At 41.1% G+C, this 20,018-nt stretch overlaps 1 protein-coding gene and 1 pseudogene across 4 annotated transcripts in view, besides 1 other annotated feature; both read right to left on the bottom strand.

Moving 5' to 3' along the window:
* The window catches only part of TMEM178B (transmembrane protein 178B), a 437,233-nt gene that overhangs the window by 146,248 nt on the left and 270,967 nt on the right, over positions 1-20,018 (bottom strand). The gene's annotated exons all lie outside the window — the stretch shown is intronic.
* Positions 1,023-1,812: an enhancer, noted in NCBI's record as "H3K27ac hESC enhancer chr7:141063037-141063826 (GRCh37/hg19 assembly coordinates)". NCBI's record gives its function as "activates a minimal SCP1, AML or CMV promoter by ChIP-STARR-seq in primed H9 embryonic stem cells {active_cell/tissue: H9 hESC(primed)}" and the evidence as "EXISTENCE:reporter gene assay evidence [ECO:0000049][PMID:30033119]".
* NDUFB10P2 (NADH:ubiquinone oxidoreductase subunit B10 pseudogene 2) lies at positions 12,281-13,072 on the bottom strand (annotated as a pseudogene).

Here is a 20,018-nt window from a genome sequence, read left to right as displayed (position 1 = left end):
TAGGCTACAGATGTGTTTCGTTTAGTCCAGAAAAGGTTTTAAAATTCTTTTAATGAGTTACAACATCAATAAGTCAGGAGGCATTACGTTCAAATATGGACTTCCAGATTTTATTGAAAAACCAGAAGATGTGGCAACATTTGGCCTATATTCTCACACAGCATCATGAGTCAAAGCTGAGAAGCAGCAGCAGGCATTATCCTCAGTCCCCTCCACTCCCTATTGCCCCACGCAGAGGCTGAGGGAATTTCCCTTTACATTACTCTTACAGGGCTGCTTTTCTGACATCCAGCCCACTCCATTCTTTGGGTTACCTACCTGGCCTGTAGTGTGGTCATTTCACTGTGTGATCCCTGGCCCAACTTTTTTTTTTTTTTTTTTTTTTTTTTGAGACAGAGTCTCACTCTGTCACCCAGGCTGGAGTACAGTGGCATGATTTTGGCTCACTGCAACCTCTCCCTCCTGGGTTCAAGCAATTCTCCTGCCTCAGCCTCCCGAGTAGCTGGGACTACAGGCACGTGCCACCATGCCCGGCTAATTTTTTGTATTTTGGGTAGAGACGGGGTTTCACCGTGTTAGCCAGGATGGTCTCGATCTCCTGACCTCAGGATCCGCCCACCTTGGCCTCCCAAAGTGCTGGGATTACAGGCGTGAGCCACCGTGCCCAGCCCCAACTTTTTAATGTGTTCCTAATACTTGGGAACAAATATCTGGGAGAGGTATTTTCTTTGAAAGGGAGTATAGCCCAGAAGCACAGTACAATTGAACGCATCTCTAACTGAACTAAAATGATACAGCTACTGGGAAATTATTTTAGGGCAGGAAAGGGGAACTGCTCACTTTGCAAAGTAGCATTTGAAGGAGTTAGTCATAGGACAAGTGAAAAGAGGCCACATTTTTTGTTGTAGGCAGAAAACACATAAATCTATTACTTCTAGAAGATGGAAAGCTGTAACTACACCTAAACATAGTATAGATACATTCATGGGTGAGAAAAGCCTAAACAGATATTAGGAGTAAGTCAAGGTGATGTATGAAGCCTTCTTAACCTTTATTTTTTTTTCAATTTTAAATTCTTTAATATTTAATATTTTTATTTTTTATTTTCATTTTTAAATATTCTTATTTCTTTTTTATTATTTTATTTATTTATTTTTTAGAAACAGGGTCTCACTTTGTTGCTTAGGCTGAAGTGCAGTGGCGCAATCACGGCTCACTACAGCCTCAACCTCCTGGGCTGAAAGGGTCCTCTACTTAACTTTGAGAATAGCCTCAGGAAGGTTGAGCACATCTCCTGTGTGTCCAGGCTTATCTTTATTCAAAACAGCACTTTGTTTCAAATGAGCAACTACAAGAGACCTAACTTCCACAGAACTCTCTGTTTTCCACTTCTGAAGATAAACGAAGGACAGAAGGGGATAATTCTTCGTGACACACCAACCTCATCTCAGGAAAACATTCAGCCTCAGAGAGCAGAAATAGCACTGCAGTTAGAATCAGAGAATTGCGTTCAAGTCCTGGTCTCCCACCCATGAGCCTGACCCTGGCCAATCACTTCACTGATCTTCAATTTCTCTCACGTGAAAATTAAAATACTTCCGTCAACTCCAGAAGGTTACTTACTGGGAGGGTCCTACAAGGCCACGTGTGGAAGCACTCTGTGAACTAAGTTACGATATCTTGAGAAACTGACACCCAAAAGATATGTGCAATAGACTCAGGGAAGAAAGTGATGTGTGATGTATTTTGCTCAAAATATTTTGGCTCTCAACAGCAAGATCCTAAAGGAATTCTTAACTGTTTACTAACCCAGCAAAGGCGAATCCCGAAGGTTTGTGCCAGTCCCATTCACAAGTCACAACATGCTGACTCACATTAACACTCGCTCGCTCTTTTTTCCAAGCATTAATGAGCTATTTGGTGTTAGGGCCCTTGGGACTTTTCCGATGATTTTTGTCTCCTTTAAATTTTCCGCCTTGCCAATTTTCCAGAATCCACTGGCATGGGAGCTCTCGGCCTGCTCTGTCTCCAGAGGACAGACCCGTCTTTATCTTCCCAGCCTTTGCTATACCTGCTCAAACAATTTCCCTTTGCCATGGTTCCGGCCATATCTGACCTCATGAGCACTTTTCCAGATGGCCAGCCAGAGGTGTGCTGTATCTGGATGACATGCACTGACCCCTGAGTGTCTCTGTCGCTCCAGGAGAAATGGCTACAGCCCGGGTGGTTTCCTTTCCACTTCTCCTGTAACTTTCAAACTGCTCATTGCATCTCTGCCCAGCTGAGGTGGGGGAACTCACAGATGCTTTCCCAATTAGTCATGGATGTCCAGATTCCAGGCCCTAAGCCAGTCCTTCAGCCAGAATGCCAGCAAAGTTATGATGCTGACCTCAAAGCACCAAATGCCCCCACAGAGTGATGATTCTTAGATTTGACACTTTCATCATAAAATTATCTAGTCCTCCTTGTTCCACAGAGCACTTTTCTTTTAGTGGATATATTAATTGTCTGACCAATTAATAGGTCTTTTTTTTAAAAAAAAAAGTGCATGTGTTATGCTTTCTTGCTTAGGAGAGAATCAAAGAGGAAAGCAGCGGTTTTATAGGCACCATGGGGACAGCATTTTACTATGAAGCATGAGAGATGATCAGGCTGCAGGCAACTTGTCTGTACACTTCAAAGCCAAAACAGGTCCACTTTGTCATGACTATGGTGCCATATGTTTATTTTCTTGCATTGGAATTGAGTGATTTTTGTCCCAGCAAATGGCCCTGGTGGGGCACCCTCTGCCAATACAAAGTAAAGGGCCTACTGCTGACACCCAGGACTTCCTCAGTGCCAGACGAAGATTGCAAATCATATCTTAATCTGTGGGGCCTGTTGAAAAGCACTAATTGTGACCTCCAGAATTCTCTGCCATGACTCGATGCGCTAATTAGCAATGGCATTTGTCAGACTAGCTGTCTTAGAGGAAAGGGGTCTGGAAAGCTGAATTAATTTAGCCATTGCCACGCACTAAAGATGTTTTGCCTTGTAAGAAAAATCAACCTTATCACCTTCCCTTTTCCAAGAAGGGTGAGTTTGAAAGTGTCACAAAGACAAATTTCCATTTGTGGTCTGTAGTACAGTTATAGTAGGGTTTGCAAATTCTAAGGCCTACAGGTGCTGGTAGGCAGCTAATTTTAATGATGAAGTGGGCTGGGTGTAAGAAACATGCAGCCTACTCTATCTTTTCTTTTGTTTTCCTACTCTTGAGAGAGACAGTCTCAATTATGAGAAAAATAACATTGCAAGAGTGATGATAGATAAACTAACACTCAGCCTCGGTGTCATGGAGACAATCAAGAGAGGGTGATGGTGGCAAACTAGAGAGAACACATGAGGCTAAAACGGGACAAGGGTTACTCTGCTCTGACCACTGTGTCATGCAGAAATATTGCCAGGATGTCATGTCATGCAGGCCTAATATTGCCAGGATGGCTAATTTTTAAAAAGAGATCAGAAACATAGATTTTTATGTAAAATCTCCTGATTTTTAAATGTTGGCAACTAATCTTTTAAACATGTAAAGTGTGTACATCAAACAATACACATCTTACCAAACCAGGACCTCTCATTCTCCTCTCCCCCAACTGTGCTTGGACATAGAGAAATTGAAGATTTTTCCATTTCAAAGATTTTTTTTTTAGTACTGGTTTTACAGGACATTCTTCAAATTACTTGGTGCTCCATTTGGGTTGCTTGTCTACTTCCTGCTTCCCCACCCTAAAGCCTAGAGGGATGGTGAAGACAAATGGCCCTGTGATACTTGCTTCTGATACAACTCCAGTAAAGGAGCAAGGACCACCAGCCAGTGGCAGGACATTCCCAAGCCAGTGTTTGAGACTGGCCTCTCTTGAAATACCAGACTGCTTCCCTTGAAACAGTTATTATTCTGACACACAGTCCTGGAAAATGTACATGAGATGCCCCTACCTTTCCTGGCTTAATGCTTTTGACCTTTTCTTCTGTCTGCCCAGAGAAGACCTATTCATTGATTGTTCCCTTCTTGGAGGCCTCTTCTGGCTGAGTGGCCCAGTGATTAATGTTCTCTTTGCTGACTGGTCTTACAGCTCCCAAGAATTACCAAATCACTTTTTTTTTTCTTCCACCATGGAGTATTGGATGGTATTTTGTTCCTAAAAATGTCCTCTAAAATGTTTGATTCTTACTTATCAGTACACCTATAAACCAAAACGTAGAACTTGATTCCAACCTAAATCCCAGATGGAAATCACAGTTAAAACACTGTTTTATTTTAAGCCCAAATCAGTTAAGAATGTGTTTGGCTGCAAGTATCAGAAAATCTGATTTATGAGAAGTTGTTTCTTTATCCTACATAACGCTAACTCTGGAAATGGATTCCTACAGAGTTAGTGAGGGCAAAGAAACATTAGGCTGCTGGGTCAGCATTCTGTGTTTCTCTTGACCACTCCGTCATACTTGTCAGACAGCTACAGCCACTGCAGACATCCTGCCTGTGCACTAGCATGCCAAGCAGGAAGGAATGAGCGAGGAAAAAAGGCTTACTCTTTGTGAAAGCCTGGCCTTAGATTTGGAATCAAAATCCTTTCTGGAAGCCTCCAGAAGACATCTTCTTTCCTCTTATTAGCTGCAATAAGAGAATACCTACAAATATCCTTTGATGCATGGAGGCCAAGAAAAGGAGTTTCTATGAGAGCAGAATGGGATTACCATGGCTGGCTCATATCAACTATGACTCATTCCCCAAGGCTGCAGGAAGAACCTGCCATCCCTATCTTCCCTTCCCTATCCTTATCTGAACAGAATCAGGATTTTGTTAGTAAGAAAGGCATGGTCATGTGGCTTCTATGCAGGTAAAGCATGGCACAAAGCTAAATTTATGAAATAAATATAAGTCAGTTGTCAGAGTGGGGTGATGATATGGTTTGGCTGTGTTCCCACCCAAATCTCATCTTGAATTGTAGCTCCCATAATTCCCATGTGTTGTGGGAGGAACCCGGTGGGAGATAATTGAATCATGAAGGCGGTTTCCTCATACTGTTCTCATGGGAGTGAATAAGTCTCAAGAGATCTGATGGTTTCATGAAGGGGGAAACCCCTTTCGCTCTGTTGCCAGCCACCATGTAAGACATGCCTTGTGCCTTTCGCCTTTCATCATAACTGTGAGGCCTCCCCAGCCACGTAGAACTGTGAGTCCATTAAACCTCTTTTTCTTTATAAATTACCCAGTTTCTGGTATGTCTTTATCAGCAGCATGAAAACAGACTAATACAGGTGGCAGGCAGTAAAGAGTTCTGAAGGAATTTCAAGAATACGACTGGCCAAAAAATGTAGTCTACTCATAAAAACAGCCCCCAATTCTGGACTGGATAATTGAAAATGCACTCCCTATTCACAAGAACTCCAAGATGGACCTGGAGAAATGGCTGATCGAGCCTGTAATAAGAGGATGTGATCCACTGTGAGTCAAATTGTTTCAGTAACCCTTGTAAGAATAGCTTATCATCACGATTGTTTACAGTCATTATGGTTAGAGTAAGCTAACAATTGAGTTAATGATAATGGGTCAATTAGGAGAGATTGGAGTACAGGTTTGGATGGAGTGAATCCAAGAGGCTGAATGAGAGCATGGCAGTTACTATAAGAAAATGGTAAAGAGAGATTCAATACAGAACTTCAACAATACCATCAAATGTGTTAATTATGCAAGACTCAACTACAAAGAGGACACCGTGCTGGGAGGCTATACCCTGGGGCAGAAATGATGAACACATCTCACTAAGACCAAATGTACTCTGGAGAGTCAGGAAGAAAACAAATCATCAATAAAACACTGAGTGAAAAGGTATTTTTTCCCTTTTTTCTTTTTTAGATGCTAGTGCAAGTTTCTTGGATTTTATATGAAAGTGTCTCCCAAATGGAATTTCTTGGGGCTAGTTCATTTAAATGATACATGTAGCTGCTTCCTACCATTTTAGTTATCAAAGCAATGGTTTCATCAAAACCATTTTATGAAAAGCAGCTGGTCACCTGGTTAGTAACTATGAACTGTCTGTACAAGAGTACGTACAGAGGTGAGTGGGTGCATGTGGCACGTGTGTGAAGGACTGAGTAGCTGGGAATGACTTTTAGTAACTAATAAAGCTTCTGAAAATCAGAATTCTGTATCTATTGATGATTTGTCTAAACCCCATCTCCCTGAGATCTAATAGTTACAAAAATATTCCTTTTTAATGGACAGTTATAAAATCTAAACATCATTCTCTATTAAGGGAAAGCCAGATGGCTCAAACAAGGGAATGCTTGCCGACTTATTAGAATTCTTTGAGAAAGGAAGTAGGCATCTAGATAAAGAGGAACAAAATGTTAGTCATTAAGAAAAGTTGGGAAACTTTTATGAAAGAGCTCAATGGTTTTTTAATTTATGTAATGAGTTTTCATGGGACTGAGAAGATAGGGTAGGGTTGGAAGTTCATGTATACAAAGAGTTGGTTTAGGGAACAAAGAACATCCCTGTCTCTGGGTAGAGAAACATAATGTAAAGAGCTGGTTTCTCAGAGATAAGCTGCAGACCAGTACTTTTTTGCATCTTTATAAATGATGTTGAGGGGAAAAGACATAGAGGTTTCTTGTAGATGAAACTGTGTGGGGAGAGGAACAAGCTATTGAGAAAAAGATATAGGAAACACTTGTAAACCAGTGCAATGGGCAAATAAAGAAGCGGGGAGCATGCATCTTTAAATAGCAAGGCAATGCATTTCAATATAAATGATAACAACTTCCCATGTGAAATTAGATACTGAGTATCTGTTAAGAAAGGATGTTTCCTGAGGATACCAGGCCAGTGTGCTGCTAGGGACCAAGCTCAATAAAATATTAATCATCAGCAAAATATATATTGGAAATAAGGCAGAAAGGCCTACCTTTCCTTTATATAAACAATAACATTTCAGTTTCTTAAATGCTATGCTCAATTCTGTTCTCAAGAACTGGGGCTCTAGATAAAGGGCAGTTAAAATGGTTTCCAGGATATATGAGCTGCTGTACAAAGACAGAATTCCAAAAATCTTGGGACTCTGTAGTCTGTAACACAGGGATTCTTCACCTGTTTTGCACCTGGACACCTGTGGCAGTCTAGTGTTCTTATGAATGCCTTCTCTGGATAATGTTCTCACATGTACAAAATAGAATACACTCTACAACTAAGAAAACTCATAATAATGCTACCTAGTTATCAAAACACTTGTATTAAAAATTGGTGATGTAGTGATATATGTGTTTCTTTATTCACACTGTAAGTAACAAGGGCTGATGGCAGATATACTAATTCCATAAATTCGAAGTAGTGATGCATATAAATGATATTTAAATACACCCGCAAAAATTATAACATGATATGAAAATATCTGTGATGCCTATTGGTGGTATTTTTAATGGAAGAAAATACTAAATTAAGATGCAATTTTTCCCTTCCAAGTCCATGAATCACCTGTATTTCTCTCACAGATATCTTAGGGGCTGGGGAGCCCCAGGCTAGTGCTCCTGCTATGACAGCAAGGGCTGAGAAAGACAATGATCTATGCTTATCATGCAATGAATAATGTACATAAAACAAACTTATTTCACACGTCCACAAACAAGAAGACAGGTGGGAGAGAGGGCATACAAAACACAAATGAGATGAGTTTAGGATCAAAAAAGGGTAATTTTACAACAAATTTTGTAAAGATGTACACCTCATTATTTCTGTAGGTGGTACTAACTGGAAATATGAAAAGATTCAAAAGGGATTTGGACAAATTTGTCAACTTTAGCTACAAAAGGCTCCTAAAAGAGAAGAGCTTGAGGCAACTTAACTTTTAAGGCTGACATTAGGGAAAATAATAGAGCCCTCATTTGAGGATATTATTTGCAGCAGAAGAAAGTTGGAGATGGTGGTTCTGAACCAATATTGCAATACTTTTCTTCTTCTTTAAGAATCTACTCTTGTTCTGAATCAGTTTCTCTTTTCACAATTAAAACAAATTACAATGCAATCCACCATAATTACATAATGGGCATTTCCTCACTACCCCAGCTTAAGGGGTCTGTGTTCACAGTTATTGATTTAGGATATATTTTATGGACCACAAAATATCATGTTTGCAGTGAAGTGGGTAGAGAGTGACTGCAGGATCCAGAGAATATGTTGGAAGGAGGGATGGTATGAGGTCATAGTGCCAAGGGTAGCAAGATTCAAAGGTAGTCAAGTTCTGAGGCAGAAACTCTGAGAATCAGATCAATGACCAAGAGGCCATTTGAAGCTGTCCAAGTTGCTGAGTGAGGCCACTCAGCAACTTGGACAGCTCATCCTGAGGCAGAGACCACCCCCCCGCCCAACCCCGCAACTATGGTCTGACAAGGTCTAATATCCACAGTCTATAAGGAAGTTAAACAATTCAACAAGCAAAAAGACAAATAACCCCATTAAAATGCGAGCAAAAGACATGAACAGATTTCTCAGAAGACTACACATAAGCGACCAACAAACATATGAAAAAATGCTCCACACTGCTAATCATCAGAGATATGTAAATCAAAACCACAATGAGATAACATCTCACACCAACCAGAATGGCTACTATTAAAAAGACCAAAAAAAAAACAGATGTCAGTGAGGTGTCAGAGAAAAGAGAAAGCTTATACACTATTTGTGGGAATGTAAACTCGTTCAGTCACTGTGGAAAGCAGTTTGGAAATTTCTCAAAGAATTAAAAATAGAACTATCATTTGACCCATCAATCCCATTACTGGGCATGTACCCAAAGGAAAATGAATCATTCTACAAAAAAATACATGCATTTGTATGTTCATCACAGCACTATTCACAATAGCAATGACATGGAATCAACCTAGATGCCCATCAATGACGGATTGGAAAAAGAAAATGAAATGTGGTACATATACACCATAGAATACTACACAGTCATAAAAAAGCATGAAATCATGTCCTTTGTAGCAACATGGTTGCAGCTGGCGTCAATATCCTAAGAGAATTAACACAGAAACAGAAAACCAAATATCACGTTATCAGTTATAAGCAGGAGCTGAACGCTGGGTACACATGGACATAAAGATGGAAACAATAGACAATGTGACTACTAGAGTGGGGAGAGAAAGAGGGAGTTGGGAAAGGAATTGAAAAATGACCTGTCAGGTACTATGCTCACCACCTGGGTGATGAGTTCAATCGTACCTCAAACCTCAGCATCACACATACCCTTGTAACAAACCTGCACATGTCCCACCCTGAATCTAAAATAAAATTTGAATAAAAAGCACAGGTGATAAAAACAAAACTAGATGAATGGGACTATGTCAAACTAAAAAGCTTCTGCAGAAAAAACAACCCTAACCTGCGTTGAATGCATCGGCATTGAATGCCCATCTGTGTTGAATGCCCATCTGCATTGAATGCCAATCAAGGCTCACCTGGCTCCACCTAGTCCTTCCTATCCAGCACATACACACCCCACCTCACTGAAGAATTGGCATAGTTATTATAGCTTCTTCTTCTCTTTAAGAAAATCAGTGATTTTCATCTGCTCTGCATCTCTCTCAATTCATGGCAGGTGCATGACTGATGAAGGGATTATCAGTCCATAGGGGTCCCAATGCTTCTCTAAGGCTCCACCACAAGGAGGGAAGCCTGACTGGTCATGGCTCTGTTTTTCTTCCCCAGATTTCCCATCCACCCCTTTGACTCCCTTTATTTCCTGAGTTAGTCACCAAGTCTGAACAGCAGCCAAAGCCCTGACAATATTAGCAAGAACATTTGATTCCCTTCAATAAAGCTGGAGACGGCCCTAGAAAGTGATCATTATTCACCCTGGATCTCTCTCTGCTTTCCCAAGGGACAGCCCTTCATCCCTTCCATCACCCCCACCCCATCACAGCAGCAGAGAGCCTGGTGGAGGAAGCTGTTTACTTTGGTCTGGTTGCCTTGAGTGAAATGTTTTATTAACATAAACAACTTTGATTCCTCTAAGCAAAACAAAAATAAAAATAAAAACTCAAAGGGGAAAACTGGAATCTTAAAATAAGCAGCTAGAATCTCTGAAACATTTTGCTAAACAGGATATTCAAAATCAGTTCACAGAAAGGGGAGAAAAGTCAGAAGACACTGGAGTCCTGAGGAGATGAAAGGAAAGAGAGAAACTCAGTGCAATGTCCCAGGAGGAGGTGGTGCAAGTAACAATGGCTCAGGAACAAACAAAGGACACAGAAATGGAACTAAAGGGAGTGAACAAATAGGAACCACGAAACCACAAAGGTGGAGAGTGTGGGACATAAAGATGGGCCACTATGGTAGGTTTCTAAGGCTTAAAAGGATTTGACTTTGGGGGTTAATAATAGAGGAATATGGTTGAATAAGTAGGAAGGGGATACGAAAGAATACAAGAAACTGCTCCCAAAAGAAAAGACTTCAAGGCCTGAGCACACACACATGTGAACACATACACTCAGACTCCTGAACATCTCATTTTCCTGGTCCATACTGGAGTGAGTAAGCTGCTTCATTATTTTGTCAGAACTGTCTGCTGTGCCAAATTTGAGGTTTCAGAGTTGTGGCAGGAAGTGGAAGAGAACTTACTGTGCATAGCATAACTGCCTCAGCACTAGAAACATTTCTGCCAAATACAATGTATTTCTCTGATACATAAGTTCTTTAACATTCTTTGAGGATATCTTATTCTAAAGAAAAGAAACCAAAAATGACAGTATTTTGAAGTCTATATTAAGCTCAAAACATAACATACATTCATACTCAAATCATATATATTGCTACTGCCTCCTGGAGACTTTACGAGTTGCAGACCATAAACTGTGGAGCCCAAGAGTGGGCTAAAAGACTGTAGACTCTTTAAAGCTTGCTCTAAGGATTTGGGCTAGTTCTCAGATTTGCTTTGCAAATAATCAGATGCCCACATTTCATTCTCTCATTTGATCCTTTTAACACTATGAGGTAGACAGGGGTAGGTTTATTCTTGTTTAGCTAATGAGGAAACTGAAACTCTAAGAGAGAATGAGACTTTCTCAAGGTCAAATGGCTATTAAGGGGCAAGGCGGCCTCTTCTGGCATCAAATTCAATGATCATTAGAGGATACTTTGCTGCCTGTCCATTAGTATAACTAAAATGAACTTAATATTTTCCACTTCTTTCTGGTTTGATTTAATTCATTCCATTAATATTTATTAAGTACTAGTTGCTGAATAGAGAAGGCTGAAAAGATATGGTCACTGTCTTAAAGAAGGTTACAGAGATTGAACAAAACAGAACAAAGGCAATGATGGTGCAGTGTGATCCTAATAGGAAAGGAGCAATGGGGCTTATGCTTGAAGTAGGAATGGAAGTCTGAAGTCATCAGAGACAGCAGTAATAGTGTATGTTTTGAGTATCATATACAGCTTCTAAGTAATTTTGAGAATGACCTGCCCTCAAAGAAAGTTACAGGCTATAGGCAGACAAGTGGGAGAAGAGTGGCTCTTGTCAAAAGGAACAACATCTATGTAAAGCAAAAGATTTGAGAAAGATTGGCATGTTCAAGAAACTACCAACAGTTCTGTTTTCCTTGAGAATAAAATGTGAGATAAGCCTGGAGAGACGGTGGGGTGAGGGCATGCCAGCTCAAAATGAGTCTTGTGTTGCATGGAAAGATCCTTAGCTGTGAACCTTTAGGCTGGAAAGATCCTTAGGAGAATGCTCATGAGGGCATTCTTACTATGAGCATGTTGCATGGCTAAGTTTGCATGTCAGAGGACATTCCAGTTGGAATGCGAACTCAGCCGATATGTTGGCAGAGAAGGAGAGATTGATGTGAGGAGACCAGCAAGAAGGGTGTGCTGTAGTCATGGCAACAGATGAAGAGGACTGAACCAAGGTGGTGGTGGAAGGGATGCATCCAAGGAGGCATTTAAAAGCAAAATCCACGGGACTTTGTGTTTGAATGTAGGGGTGAGGGACAGTGAACCACCAGAAACAATGCTAAATAATTTGAAAACAACTGTGAATGCCTCAAGAAGAGAAGTTGTATTCTATCCATCTTTGGTTCTCTTTTTTCTTACTGAGCCTGGCACATTTGGGATACTCAACAAACTTCTATGAAATCGTGTTGTTCTCAAGTCTCTTTTTTTTCAGGTTGCATCACTTTATTTCAGAAATACAGTGATAGTCATATAGAGCCACATAGCGCAGGGGGAACCCACACAGCTGCCTCAGGCAGCAGCAGCCTCCTTTGCAGCTTTTCTCTCCACCAGCATCCTCTTCCTCTGTTTCACCAGGTACTTCAGAATAGCGGACTCCCAGCCGGGCGCGGTGGCTCATGCCTGGAATCCCAGCACTCTGGGAGGCCGAGGCGGGTGGATCATGAGGTCAGGAGTTTGAGACCAGCCTGACCAATGTGGTGAAACCCCGTCTCTACTAAAAATACAAAAAAAATTAGTGGGGCGTGGTGGCGCGTGCTTGTAATCCCAGCTACTCAGGAGGGCTGAGGCAGGGGAATCACGTCAACCTGGGAAGCAGAGGTTGCAGTGAGCCAAGATCGCACCACTGCACTCCAGCCTGGGTGACAGAGTGAGACTCGGTCTCAAAAAAAAAAAAAAAAAATAGTGGACTCCCTGGTCATGATAGCGGTCCTGGCATGCCTTGGCCACCAGGGTGAAGGGTTCCAGCTCCTTGGCACAGTCTGTCTGTAGCTCCCTCCTTAAGCCTCTCCTGGATGAGGTCAACAATTTCTTGACTGATTTTGTGGTCCCTTCTCCATTGCATTTCAGCTCCAAACATGCACAAAACATCCTCCTTGCATTCAATGATGTCTGGCATGTGGCGATACTCCCAGTGGTAGTAGTAATACCTTCTTCACATGCTGCCCCTTTATAAACTCTCTCTCACAAAGGCCATGAGGAGGTCAAAGGCCTTCATCAAGTAGGTGATGGGTTTGGGGAGCAAGGCCTGCAGCGAGGGCATGGGGACTTGGGGTACACATCCTTGTCCCAGCTCTCTGGCATCGTGGTGGTGGGTGGTGGACTCCACTCCTGGACATGCTGCCCTGGCCTCTGTCTCTCTGTCCCTGTCTCACAGCCTCTCAAGTCTCTTTCTTATTTCTTTCTGTTTGCAGGAGCATCTTTGAAGGTGGGACATACCACTTCATTATTTGTTCATTTCTTATCTCTAAAAAATACCTGGTTCAGTGATCTGAAGTTGGGGGGTGCTAAAAAGGGTCATAAAATTGGTAGGACATTTTTTCAATTTTTAAAAAATGAGATGAGAAGATAAAGTAAAGTAGACATTCAGATTGATGTAAAATGGTATCAGCCTTTGGGAAGATTCTGAGCAAAAATGGCCACAACCATTCTATTCTCCCTACTGTATCCATATTCCTCCAAAGGTGACTTTGAAGCCCCTCTTATCAAGGGGTGGGGTCTTTTTCTCCACCCCTTCAATGTGGGCTGATTTTGTGACTTACTTTGAGCAACAGAATACAGCAAAAGTAACCTTGTCCTTGCACACCTGTGCCTCACACACTGCTGCTCTCTCTCAGAAACCTGCCAAACTGCCATGTAAACAAGCCTGGACTGGCCTGCTAGAGGCAGTGACCAGCCGTTCCGGCTAAGGCCATTCTAGGCCAGCCTGCCCTCAGCCAACTTCAGCTGACTGTAAATGCATGAGTGACCTCTTGGAGATGAGAAGGACTGCCCAGCTGAGCCCAGATCACACTGCCAACTCAGAAACTTTTGGTCTAAATACATAATTGTTACTTTATGTCACGAGAGTTTGGGGGTCATTTGCAGCAAAAGCTAAAGATGGACTATCTTTGGAAAAGGAATAGGTGAGACACTCTTCCTTGGCTTTCTACATCAAAGGAGATCAGTGCTTCAGAGGAGATCAGTTCCAAAGACACTGAGTTTTAGTTGTCACACTGCTAACATCACTTCCTGCTGCACAGCACTCCATCCATCATCCATATGGAGGTAATATTTGCTAATAAGAATGCCAGAGGATGAGCAAGTCATGTGTTCTAGGAGGGCCCCAGGTACAGTTTCACCAAGCCAGGGATAGGGGTTATTCTTTGACTCTTTAGACACGACTTCTATAGTTTTTAAGTGATCAAGGGCTGCTTGTTACTAAGTATTGCTGCTTTGAATCACGGGAATCAAGCACTATAAAACCTTCAGGGAAGTCTTTTGTTTTGTGTGTGTGTATGTAAGAAAAAGAAAACAAAAATACACGTTAAAGGTATATATGACCATTTGATGCACTTTTCTGTTTGTCTGAAATATTTTGTAATTTAAAATTAAAAAATTTAACCTGGTAAACATATATTACATTTTCTTACTATAATAACATTACTTTAATCATCTCCCTTACACTGTTCCCAGGAGATTCTATGTGAATATTGCTTTTTCTGCTCACTGCTATGTTAGGAGATACAAGGTCAGCAGCACCATATTTAATATATCCCTCTTTTATAGCACTTCATTTATTTATTCATGTTTTCAACAAATATTAATTATCTTCTCCATACTAGGTATCGTTTCGGACAATAATGATACAGCCCTGAACAAAACAATGTCCCTCCTCTCAGACCTTACATTCTAGTGGGGGAAGATAAAATACAAATAAACATGTTACGATGCCAGGAGTGATATATACCATAGAGTGAAATTAACCCTGGTCAAGGATTAGAAAGGCATGGAGAGGGCTTTTCTCGATGGGATGGTCAAAGAAGGCCTCATTGGTGAAGGAAGGAAGAGTTCAGCTGGGCCTGAATGAAAGGACACTAGAAGACAGAGCTCTACAATGTAATCAACTGGTTTTCTTGTGTTTTTTCGGTTCATTGTGACATCTGGAAGGTAGATACTGTGTCTTATTCATCTCTGTAACTTCAAGCCCAGCACAGTGTCAGGCATATAGGAGGCACTCAATCTTACTAGATGGATGGATAGATGGATGGATGGACAGATAGATGCATGGATGGATGCATGCATGGATGGATGGATGGATGGATGGATGGATGGATGGATGGATGCATGGATGCATGGATGGATGCATGGATTCTTCCTCAGGGTTTCAGCAAATAGTGAGAACTCAGTAAATAAACAACGAGGGGGCTGCCTTCTCCATGAGGCTTACCCTGACCATGCAGTTTAACACTACATTCTGCCCTGGCTCTGCCTTGTTCTTCCTATCCAGCACATGCCCACCCTACCTCACCCAAGAATTAAAAGGCCTTGACACTGTTATTATAGCTTCTTCCCCTCTTTAAGAAAATCAGTGATCCAACCACTGGCACTCCTGTCCCCTTATTCTGCTGAATCTTTCCTTTGTTCCATGAAACGATTGCCTTCTGCCATAACAGATAATTGACCTATTTGTTTTGTTTATTGCTTCTCTGTCTCCATCACTGGAGTGCAAGCTCCTGAATACAGGGATCTTTGTCTGTTTTGCTCATTGCTGCAACCCAAGCACCTCATACAGATCCAGCACACAGCAAGAGTTCAAAATACGCATGTTGAATATCTAAATGTGAACCCATCCATCTCAGGGTTTCCAGAGCCTGATCTAAAGCGTGTCTGGGCCCCTTTCCTGTCTATCTTCTCCTGCAATACGTCTGCTTTTAGGATGATCCATCGGTCATTTTTTCCACCCAGAGATTGTAGGTTACTCCCATGACTAATGTGCATATAAATATACATAGTGTCTTTTGACAATCTGAACATTCCAGCAAGCTCAATACAGAAAGGAAATATCAGTACAAATAAATACTATATAAATATACTCAATATATAAATCAGAAATAGAATACTTTAAAAATACTGAACACTTCTAGTTTATAAGTAAAAGAAGCTGGATTGTTTATTTATGAACCAATAACAATATCAATTAGCTACTAAATAAAGTGCAGAAGAAAAGTCTAGTGGAAAGATAACAAAATATACATAAACTATATTATTTGTTATTTCTTGATCTTTTTCCTTTGCTGTATGTCAGTCACTGTGGGAACATTTCATGGTCCTGTCAATCAGCGATACCCTGCCGCCGTTACCCAGTCATGAACCCCGCCAGTCACTCTGTCATGAGCTCCGCCAGTCACTCTCAACAGGATGCTGACAGCTTCCACTGTCAGTTCTGCTCGCTAATGCTCTGATTTTTTCTGTAACCTAGTTGAGGTTTCATTAGCTTAACTAGACTAAAGATATCCTTTTTCAGACAAAATCAGCCGTCCACTCAGGGTAATACACATTAATTACAATTGCCTCCTTTCTTTACAGGTCCATTTCAAACTCCTGTATTCTGATTTCTTTGTAACCTAGTTAAGGTTTCATTAGCTTAACTAGACTGGAGATATTCTTGTGGGTGAAGATTTGCTTTCAGCCTGAAATTATCCACACTCTTTCTTAAATGGCTACATTTTCCTCACAGTCTAAATTAGATTAACTAATTTCAGACTGCTCTCCCCCTAAATTACAATTGCCAAGATGGCCCAGAGATGGTCTCCTTCTTCCAGAAACCTGTCTTTCTTCTAACACTTGACTCCCCAGTCGGAATGCCGTTCCTTCACAGCCTCCTCACCACGCTGCTTCTCCCCAAAAAAGCCCAGCACCCTGTAAAGACCACATGAATCCTGTCCATCTGAATTACACGTTGGATGCAATGCATTACATAGCTTCTGCAATGGCGAGTTTAGAAAACTGTCACACAATTTGGGCTTTATTACAAAGGAAACTTTGCTTCATTGATTTTGTGACCTTATTTTTCAGTAGAAAGAAATAACTGCGAAATTTGGAAATGAACCAACAAGAAACAACGATAAAAAACCAACCCGCTATCGTAAAACCCAAGATTTTGGCTAAAACAAAACAAAATAAAGTAAAATAACCTGGCTGATAAAATCTCACAAGGACACAAAAGCATATGTAAGCATTGTTGCTAAATGTGGTTAGATCTGTCTAAACCCTTTTCTCTCCCAGCTAGTAAATATTGTTCTGTACTCATTGAGGTGGACCTTTGGAAATTAAGTTTTGAAAGGTTCTATGACAGAGGCTATTGGTGAAATCATCTCTCCTAGGTAACTACTGTGATAAGGCAAGATTGTCCCAGTTGTTTGTCCTGAGGTCGCATTCATTACATTACACACACTTTCTACTTAAGTGAATTCCACAGTTGGTGGTGCGGCAGAGTGGAGAGGTGGGGTACAGACAGAATAAAGTGAGGTGAGGAGGACAGGAAAAGGAGACAGATGAGGAGACAGAGAAGGCAGACGGGGGGTGGGGGAGATGTGGAGAGTAAGAGACACAGACCACACACTTTGTGCTTGTGTGGACAGACTAGGATCCAGAAGAGGGCCATGAGCCTATGGGCCCCAGAGGCATCTCTAGTTACCATGACTCCCTCAGCCACGAGCATCTTGCTACATGGAGCATGATGCTAGTGCTTAAAGATAAGTATTTTTGCACAATGTGGCTCCTAAACGCCAGCCAATTATGTCATAGGATGTTCAGCTGAACAGTGGTCTGTTCCCACACCAAAGGAAAACCAGCTCTGCCAGGAGACCCGAGAGACTGTATGCCTGTCTCCAATGTGGCATGGCCCAAAAAGATTTCCAAGGGAATGATTGATCTTACACCCTAACTTTAGAGTCTGCATACAATATCATGGCCCTCCTCCACACTACATTTAAATTTGAAGGAAAATCTAAGTAGAACCTGATCCAGAAGATTCCTTATGGTGCAAGACACACCTCTCTTTTCTTTATGAGTATATTAGGCTGTTCTCGTTCTCGCACTGCTGTCAAGAACTACCTGAGACTGGATAATTTATGAAGAAAAGAGTTGTCATCGACTCACAGTTCTGCAGACTTACCAGGAATCATGATGGGGAAGCTTCAGGAAACTTACAATCATGGCAGAAGGTGAAGGGGAAGCAAGGGCCTTCTTCACATGATGGCAGGAGAGAGAGAGCAAGGGGGAGGCACCACACTTAAACCATCAGATCTTGTGAGAACTCCATCATGAGACAGCACTAGGGCGATGGTGCTAAACCACTAGACACCACACCCACAATCCAATTACCTCCCATCAGGCCCCACCTTCAACATATGGGGATTACAATTCCACATGAGATTTGGGTAGGGGCACAGAGCTAAATTATATCAATGAGTAATTTACTTTGTTATGGAAATTTGCTTTCTAATTGTAAAACATGTAATCCTATTAGCATGTGTTTGTGTGTGTACCACACACTGTTGGTATATACATATCCATGTGGCTCTTTCTTTCTTCTCTCCTTCTGTGTGGAAGAGAATCATGAGGACTCCAAAAAAAAAAGCAAAGAATTAGAGGTGTGTGTCTGTGTAGCAGTGTGTGTGGAGTGTGTATGGGTACACATATGTCCATTGCCTATGTGTGAGGTGGCTGGAGTGAGAATAGGGAAGAAGTACAGGTAAGGGCACATGATACTTATAAGGTCCTAACAAATCTTACACAAAGCTGACTATAAGTCAAGCCCTGAAGGTAGGTACTGTCCTAAGAGGGGCTAATTTTTCCAGGTAACATTTAGATAAATTAGGAAAGAAGGAAGTCTGGTGATAACATCAGGGTTGAAGTAAAAGTTGTTGAAAATAGTCCAAAATTACACCTAGGTCTTTATTTTTTAGTATTTCTCTATCCAATTTTCTATAGCATGATTTACTGTTTTTTATATTCATCTATTTGGGTAAAGAGGTTTTTTTGTTTGTTTTTTGGTTTTTTTTGTTTGTTTGTTCTTGAGATGGAGTCGCTCTGTTGCCCAGGCTGGAGGGCAGTGGCATGATCTTGGCTCACTGCAAGCTCCACTTCCTGGGTTCTCGCTATTCTCCTGCCTCAGCCTCCCGAGTAGCTGGGACTACAGGCACCCGCCACCACGCCCGGCTAATTTTTTGTATTTTTAGTAGAGACAGGGTTTCACTGTGTTAGCCAGGATGGTCTCTCGTGATCCGCCCGCCTCAGCCTCCCAAAGTACTAGGATTAAATAAATATAAATTTCATAGATAAGATCTGAATCATATGCCACAAAACAAAAGTTTTATAAGGTTTTATAAGTCCCTTATAAGGTGGTGGAAGATAAGAACTGGTGACGGCATGCCCAAATTGCAGGTCTCATTTAGTTAACAACTCTCTTAAAGTTTAAAAGTTAAAAATGCCAGTCTAATGTTAAAAATGGTAGTTAGTATAAAACAATCAGTAAGCATTTTTTAGTAAATACTTATAATTTGAGTTAGTAGTTAAACTAACCTCTTTAACTTTTTTCTTCGAGAGATAAGTGTTCGTTTTCACATGAGATCTCCTTTTGCATTTTCTGTGAAACACGAACCATCTGTACCAAGCCCATTGCAGGGTAAAGAGAATGACAAAATCACCTAATACTTGAACATAACAAGGATAACATGACCCTGAGGCACACAACACAGCTTGCTGTGTGATAACTCTATCATTCACTACAACGGTGCCATCTTTACTGTAGCTTGGCAAAGAAAGAGACTAGTACTATAACGATGAGGACAAACAAAACCAAAACAAAATCAAGGCAGAAGGAGATACCCTACTTTTCCAGAAACTCTCTGAAAAATCTTTCCTACCAATCTCAAATTGTTGATATTATCAATCTCGAGTTGTTTGCCTAAATGATTTTATCACAGAATTATTAACTCCCTCTCTAACTTTATTTGTAAGTTTTGGGGTTTTGACAATTAACCTGTTGCTGACTTTGGTACTATTGATCATGAATTTGTTCCAATCTGACTAGGGTTAGGTTAAAACGTAAGGTCTCTTCAATATATAAATGGAAAAGTGAGAGTTGGGGGTATCCCAAGCAAAGTAGCAATATATATGAAATATATCTGTAATTTTTTACTTGCTTTAGGACAAAATTTCTTTCCAAGCTCTTTTTCATGACATATTTGTATGCGACATGCTA

The sequence above is a fragment of the Homo sapiens genome, chromosome 7 (assembly GCF_000001405.40).
Source record: "Homo sapiens chromosome 7, GRCh38.p14 Primary Assembly".
Lineage (NCBI taxonomy): Eukaryota > Metazoa > Chordata > Mammalia > Primates > Hominidae > Homo > Homo sapiens.
The sequence above is the reverse complement of the archived record's forward strand: the minus strand, read 5'-3'. Positions and strand labels throughout refer to the sequence as shown.